The sequence below is a fragment of the Homo sapiens genome, chromosome 16 (assembly GCF_000001405.40).
Source record: "Homo sapiens chromosome 16, GRCh38.p14 Primary Assembly".
Lineage (NCBI taxonomy): Eukaryota > Metazoa > Chordata > Mammalia > Primates > Hominidae > Homo > Homo sapiens.
The window spans coordinates 49,115,399-49,123,087 of record NC_000016.10 but is presented as its reverse complement, the minus strand read 5'-3'; the positions used below and the strand labels follow the sequence as shown (position 1 = coordinate 49,123,087).

The window sequence follows — 7,689 nt, the reverse complement described above, 5'->3', positions numbered from 1 at the left end:
GCAGTCCAAGCAAACGAATACTGACTGCCTCTCACAGGGGAATCCTACGGGAGGGCCAGGGGCTGGTCATGGACTAGTACGTTGCTTCTCCCTGAGATTTGTGGATTTTATCAGAGGAATTTATGAAAGCCTTCGTATCTATTACCTTAATATCTTGTTAGGGCAGAGCTTGAGGAACTGTCACAGGTTGTTGGAGAATAAGTTTTGGGGCAAGGGATTGTTCCCAGTGCCCCATAGTTATCTCCAGGACACCAGACTTTTATGACTACACAAAAGACTGCAACATCATTGGCCACATCTCAAGAGCATTGGCCACTACTTCTAAATTCTTTCTAATCTGGGGAGTCTGATTGATGCTCCCAGAGGCTGCTCTCAGTTCAGAAGCTTCCTGTATTACACAAAGCCTGCCCTGCAGGTCCCGAAAAGGCAGAGGATGGGAAAACACATCATAGAGTCAGCTTGTGATATCACGCATCATCTTTAAGAAAGCATTTGTGGAGCTTCACGTAAAGCCCCTGTGCCTCTAACGTGGGCCCATACCTGGGGAAAATATTTGGATAGATTTTATCTGGCAAAAGGCCAAGGAAGCCAGCCAAGATGAGATCTGTTCCTCAGACTCACTCATTGCAGCTCCACAAGGGCTCACCTCATGGACATGCTGCAAGAACAGGTTCATGTAACAACAGGTAAGAAATCTTCTTGCTGGAGGAGGCAGCTTGAAGAAACCAGACAGTTTGCTTGAAAACTCAACAGCTTTTTGTAGCCCAAATGACTTAAAGTGCTCAGAGGAAAAGGTGGTATTTTGTTCCCTTCAGAAGCATTTTGGGGCCATTGTTTATAATGGTGAAAAACTGGAACCATCCTAAATGTTTCCAATTTTTTAAAAAGTGGGATTTATTAAATAAAATAGAGAAGTGAAGCTCTTAAAAATGATATGTAAAGACATGGAAAGATGATGAAGAAATGGTGTTATTTGGATAAAAAGTTACTTTTTAAAACAGTAAGTATGCTACAATTTCATCTTTATTTAAAAATATTTATAAGAAAGACTAAATGGTTATGTAGAAAATGGTAACTTATCTCTAAGTGGTAAGTTTATAAATGCTTATATGTTTTCTTCTTGTTTCTTTTTGCTGTGATATATACAGTCATATGTTACGTTGCTTAATGAAGGAAATATGTTCTGAGTAATCCACCATTAAGTAATTGCATCATTTGTGTGAACATCATGGAGTGTACTTATACAAACCTAGATAGTATAGCTGACTACATACCTAGGCTATGTGTTATAGTCTATTGCTCCCAAGCTATAAACCTGGACAGCATGTTGCTATGACGAATACTGTAGGCAATTGCAACACATTGTGTACTTAAACATATTTAAACATAGAAAAAAACAATAAAAATGTGATATTATAATCTTACGGGAACACTGTTATATACGCAGTCCGTCATTGACCGAAATGCCATGTGGTGCATGACTGTATGTATGGATATATCTATATCTATATCTATATCTATATCTATATCTATATCTATATCTGTATCTATATCTATATCTATATCATCTATGTCTATATCTATCTATATATATGTGTGTGTGTGTATATATATATGTAAATATATATATACAGAGGAAGAATTTACCCTGTGTTTTTGTCCCTCTTTATGTAGTGAGAGAGAACTAAACCAGACAATCTTTAAGCTCTCTACCAGCTGTAACATTCCAAGACTGATTCTGAAACATTGGAAATTAGTTGGACTTAGTGACACAAAAAGTATTTATGAAAAGAATATTTGCCTGATTAAAAACAAAGTTGTTGGAGAATGTGGAGCTGGCTGCTACATCAACACAACCCATGGGCTTTCATGATGTTTTGGCTGTTCTGATTGCAAAGGAAAAATGATGATAGCTCACAGCTACTAAATGCATTACATACTTGGAATTGGGCCAACTGTTTTACATGTATCATTTTACTTAATCCTCACAGTAACCCTATGAGGTAGATGCTCCCATTGCAAGCTGTAACTCTGCAGAGATCAAGTCAATGCCCAAGGTCAGTAGCCAAGAGAGCGGGGTGTGCGTTTGAAGTTCAAACCCTGAGATTTGAGTCCACAGCCTTCATCTTACTTTCTGCTGTCCCCTGGTGGAGCACTTCCCTTAGCCTTGCCATGGCAGGAAAACATGACATCCTGGAAGAGACCAACGGGGCAAGTGTAAGCCTTTTGGGTCATGAGCATTAGAGAATAACCCACTGAAGTCTCCTTAGGGCAAATGAAGTGACTCCACAAACCAAGAGCTGAGCTTGGTGGGAAATGAGTCATGAGCGTCAGCCCAGGGAAAGGTCACGGTGGTTCTCCTCGGTGTCAGGCTCAGGGTGGCTGGAGCAAAGTGAAGAATTGCTAGGAATGGAGGGTAAATAAGGGAAATAAGCTACACTGAAGGGTTTGCATTTCCTTAAAAGTGTTATGTAAGGTTTCATGCTGGAGATGAGTTAATGAAACATGCTGTTACTTAAATGAAGTGTTCTAGTTTTAGAAGCATGAGGTATTGCATGCGAGCTGTGCAATTCCCCATTCCTGCCCTGCCGTGCTCTATATCATGGAGCCAAGAGCCTCAGGTTCCCATGCCAGCTCACCCCCATCTGGGTTCAGATGGTGGAAAGAAGAAAGAAGGCAGGACATCTCCCTCCATGGCCTCCAGCAACATCTCTGCTAGAGGTCACGTCTCCTCTGAGGCTCTAGCCCTCACTGAATGACCTACCACATTTCCAACTTCTGCTGGATGATGTGAAACCCAGGATCTGGTAACCCCCTTCCTCCCAGTTCCTGCCCGCCCACCAGTCTTGTGGTGGTAGCAGCTTCTACCATCACCAATCTTTGGCTAACTTTCATCCTTTGCTTGATTTTTCTGTTTTCCCATTAGTTGTGTAACCAATTACATTCCCTCTGTTTGACATATCAGAGTGGTTTCCTTTTTAATTGATACATAATGATTGTACATATTTTAGGGGTACATGTGATATTCTGTTAAAGGCATACAATGGATAGTGATCAAATCAGGGTAATTAAGATATTCATCACCTCAAACATTTATCATATGATTCCTTTCTTTTGATTGAACTCTGACTGTTATGTTCTTTTGGTTATCAATTTCTGAGTTATTCCATGATCTATAGGGTAAAGTGTGGCAGGTAGTGTAAGGGGACTTCAAGGAAGATTCTATGGCAACATGAAGGTGGGTAATGATAATACCACCAGGAGCATCAGGTGTGACATTTAGCTTGGCCATTAATGAGGCCAAGCTGAACGAGGGAGCTGGAAGAGAGAGGAGCATTTGGGTGAAGGGATCTGTGTAAGCAAAGGCATGAGCAGTAAGAATCCTGGTCTTGTAAATAATGGCCAGTAATGAATAAAAAATAGATGAAAAGTCTTCAACACTGCAAAACGAAGAAGTTCTTCAGTGAAGGTGCACTTGAGGATGGAGATATGTAGGGAGTATCAGAGAACCAATGGGTTGTGGATGTGTCTAAAATGCAACATTTTGAAGTGGGAGGATTGCCTGAGTCCAGGAGTTTAAGACCAGCCTGGGAGCATAGCGAAACCTCATTTCTACAAAAAATAAAAAAGTAGACAGGCATGGTGGCACAAACCTGTGGTCCCAGCTATTTGGGAGGCTGAGGTAGGAGGATTACTTGAGCCCTAGAGGCTGAGGCTGCAGTGAGCTGTGATCAAATCATTGCACTCAGCATCGGCAAGAGGTGAAACCCTGTCTCTAAATAAATAAGTAAGTAAATAAATAAATAAAAAGTGCAAGATTGGAGAAAGTTGGGAGGAATAAACCCAGAAGGGTATATTGAGGTATGACTAAATGCCAGATTAAATATTTGGGCTTCATCTCAAGGCAACTGTAGGTATCATTGACTCCCAGGGCTTGGCCATGAAAGGTATTCAATTAATCTTGTTTAATAAGTAAGGAACTACTGAAAAGCTTGGTAAAGGGAAAAGACATAAACAGAGCCATGCTCTGCAAAACTTGTTCTGGCAGAAATGTGTAAACTCAGAGTGGTGGGAGGGCAGGAGGGGTGGGGACCAGTTAATAAGTGACTGTAAGCTGGCTGGGTACAGTGTCTTATGCCTGTAATCCCAGTGCTTTGGGAGGCTGAGGTGGGATGATTGCCTGAGCCTGGAAGTTTGAGACCAGCCTAGGAAACATAATGAGACCCCTTTCTCTACAGAAATTTTAAAAATTAGATGTGCATGGTGGCACACAGCTGTAGTCCCAGCTATTCAGGAGGCTGAGACAGGAGGATCATTTGAGCCTGGGAGTTTGAGGTTATGGTGAGCTATGAATCACACCACTGCACTCCAGCCTGAGCCACAGAGTGAAACACAGTCTCCAAGAAAAAAAGAAAAAGAGAGAAAGAAGAAAGAAAGAAAGACAGAAAGAGAGAGAGAGAGAAAGAAAGAAAGAAAGAAAGAAAGAAAGAAAGAAAGAAAGAAAGAAAGAAAGAGAAAGAAAGAAAGAAAGTTACTGCAAGCAATCATGAGCCTGAGAAAGATAAGGAGGACTCAGATATCTTACATATCAAAAAATTAGAATTGCAGATCTCAGATGTGGGTGACACAAGAGCACCTCTGAGGCCCAGCACCCAAGACCTGGGAGTCAATGAGGCCTACGGTTGCCTTGAGATGAAGCCCAAATATTTAATCTGGCATTTAGTCATACCTCAGTATACCCTTCTGGGTGGACAGAAACGCCAGCATGAGCATATGCATTTGATCAAGCAGGGGCCCAAGAAGGGCAGGCATGGAGAAGATGAGGGAGACGCGTGTTTAGTGGTGACAGTTATTTAATAACCACTCTTGGATCTCCTGGCCTTTTCTCTCCTGTTGCTGTAAAGACATTCATTTTTCTTTAAACCCAATAAATTATTCTCTGTCAGCAAGCTTGGGGGAGGGGATGAAGAGAAGACCTCGGTTTGCTCTTGGCTTTCCCTCTGTCTAGTCCAAACACTGGAAATGTCAAGTTTGCCCACTAATTAAACATGTCTGTCTTGGACTGCACTTGTATCTTTCACTGAGAAGGTGTAGATTTCCAGGGAGACATTACACATTCATGTTTCCAAATACAGCATTTTACAATCTCCCTGTGTGACACAAATACCAACTTTGTGAAAGTGTCTCCTGGTAGGAAAGACACCTGAGTAAGGCAGCCTGGGTCTGGTGGAGAGTGGGGATGTGCTCAAAGCCTTCCCTTTGATTTGTTTTCTTGGGGAGCTTCTCTGGGAGCCTCTGTAGGGCCAGCTCTGGACCTTGCTGGATTTCCATGAATTCTGCTACACAGCTGATGTCTCCCAGGACTGGATCATGGGAAATCTTGTTCCCTGGTCACGTTGACACTCCCTGCTACTGTCCTTGGTGTCTGGGTGGTAGGGAACTTGGCAATTTGCAAGTGTATCTGTGGCCATAATTTTCATAATTTTGCAAAGCTTTCCTAGAAACCTAAGAGAAAGGTATCATTATCACATCCATTCCATAGATGCGGGCTTGTAGTCTTGAAACCGTTATAGAATGAGTTTTTTTTTTAAGTGTATTTTCTAGGTGCTAGCTATGAGCCTGGCCCTGTGTTAGGTGCTACAGATAGATCTGTAAACAAGATCGGCACAGTCCCTGCCCACCTGGAGTTTTAGTGGAGTGTAGAGCAAATAAATGATCAGGCACTGGGGAATCAGAGAGGTTAGGAAACTCACTGAGATTCTGCTGGTTAAGTGGCCAGGCCAGGCCTGCTTAACTTCAAATCTCTGGTCCATCTTCTTGGGCAGTAAAGCGTGAACCTTAAAAATGTGAGCTGAAGATATGGATGCCATCTGAATCCCGTGGAAGTCAAGGAAGAAGAGAGCTGGAGGGGCCACAGCCTGATTCTAACATGGGTGATGGCATTTCTGTTATGCTACTCCCAGAGTGCCAGGCCGGGGTGACTCACTTGGAGGAGGCATGCCCCGGCAGAAGTCTGCAGGGTGCTCCCAGGCTCCCTGCCTCCTCCCCCCACTGTTAAGTCACCACGGTGTTGTGGGGGCTGGGGAAAAGCAGCAAGGCTGTGGGATGACAGTTTTCCACCCGCCTTCCTGGACCTGTTTTAAATCTCAGAATCTCAGCTTCTCCATCTGAACATGGGCATCTTGACACATCGTTAGACCATGAGTGGCCAGTGCTTGGGATTTCATGGACCACTCATATTTTCTAATGTGTATGTGTGTGGTGCGGGGGATGGAGCTCAAGTTAGGAAACTATACATTTTTTAAAAACCTGACTGTCTACTTTTAAAATCTCTTGTTAAACAAAAGACAGTTTCATATCAGGTAAAGAAAGAAGGAATAATACAATGTATAAGAATACAAAATTAAAAATAACTGTTTAAATGGAATTTACATTAGTGGTTTTTGTGTGTGTGTGTGTGTGTGTGTGTGTTTTGTTTTGTTTTGTTTTGTTTTTGAGACAGAGTTTCGCTCTCGTTGCCCAGATTAGGGTGCAATGGTGCCATCTTGACTCACTGCAAACTCCACCTCCTTGGTTCAAGCAATTCTCCTGCCTCAGCCTCCCAAGTAGCTGAGATTACATGTGTGCACCACTATGCCCAGCTAATTTCTTTTATTTTTAGTAGAGATGGGGTTTCACCATGTTGGTCAGGCTGGTCTTGAACTCCTGACCTCAAGTGATCCAACTGCCTTGGCTTCCCAAAGTGCTAGGCTTACAGGCGTGAGCCACCTTGCCCGGCCGAATTTTACATTAGTTTTAAAGAGCTGACTTTGTTGTCATTTTTCTCACTTCTCTTTGGACTGTGGTGAAAACTGCACCACGGATCCACCCCCATCTTTGGCCCTGGGCCCAGCAGCTGGGAAGATGGTCCATAAGCCCCTTTCGGCTGTGTGAGTTCTGGGCTTGCGGCGTCCACAGGGCAGTCTAGGGTCTGCAGCTATTCTCCTAGGAAGCAGACAGTCTTGGCTTCATTTCACTCCAGAATTGCGTCTGGAGGCTTCTGTTTGGTCTGTGATCACTGAAATGGCAGCGTCCTGCCAGAGCAGCTCCCTCCAAGTCTCTCCATATGGGGACTGCATTTCCACCAGTCCTGGTAGCTCTTTTGCTCATAACATCAGTCCCTACTGACAGATTCATCCCTGTCACACTATTTACTGAAACTAGGCCACTTAATTAAAAGTAAGAGATTTTGCATAAACTCCAGCAGTGGCTTTATAAATTCCAAGCATTGTAAAGGGACCAGATGGAAGAACGGGCCAATTATCATAGAGCCCAATGTTCCCACCCTTTCCAACATGCTTCTTAATCATGGAGGCACCTGCTCTCGCCAGGGAGTAAAGATCCTACTTTCGTTGTCAGCTTACCATGAACATGAAAAGGGTCAACCCCAGCACAAATATGATTTGCTTTCTTGGGATATTTACATCACAAAGTCAATGGTTCAGAGATGCACTTTTTAGACAGCTATGGAGCCACATTAACTGTATGGGAGAAGGGACTGCAGATGGGGCAGATGTCTTGTCAGCAGAGATTTGGGTACCAGGCTGGGAGGAGGCACTAGAGAACCAAGCAGGCTTCCAGCTCTGAGTCTTACACTGTGGAGTCTTTTGGCTTCTCCAGATTGCTTCTCTACTCTTCTCCACTCTGCTG

The 7,689-nt window shown here is 43.3% G+C and overlaps 1 long non-coding RNA gene across 2 annotated transcripts in view; it reads left to right on the top strand.

The window, feature by feature from the left end:
- The first annotated feature begins 352 nt into the window (after positions 1-352).
- LOC105371241 (uncharacterized) overlaps positions 353-7,689 on the top strand; it is a 50,969-nt gene continuing 43,632 nt past the window's right edge. For both annotated transcript variants that reach the window (XR_001752138.3, XR_933517.3), the window contains exons 1-2: positions 353-686; positions 1,992-2,057. This is a non-coding gene — a long non-coding RNA (uncharacterized LOC105371241). The remainder of the gene's footprint in view (positions 687-1,991; positions 2,058-7,689) is intronic.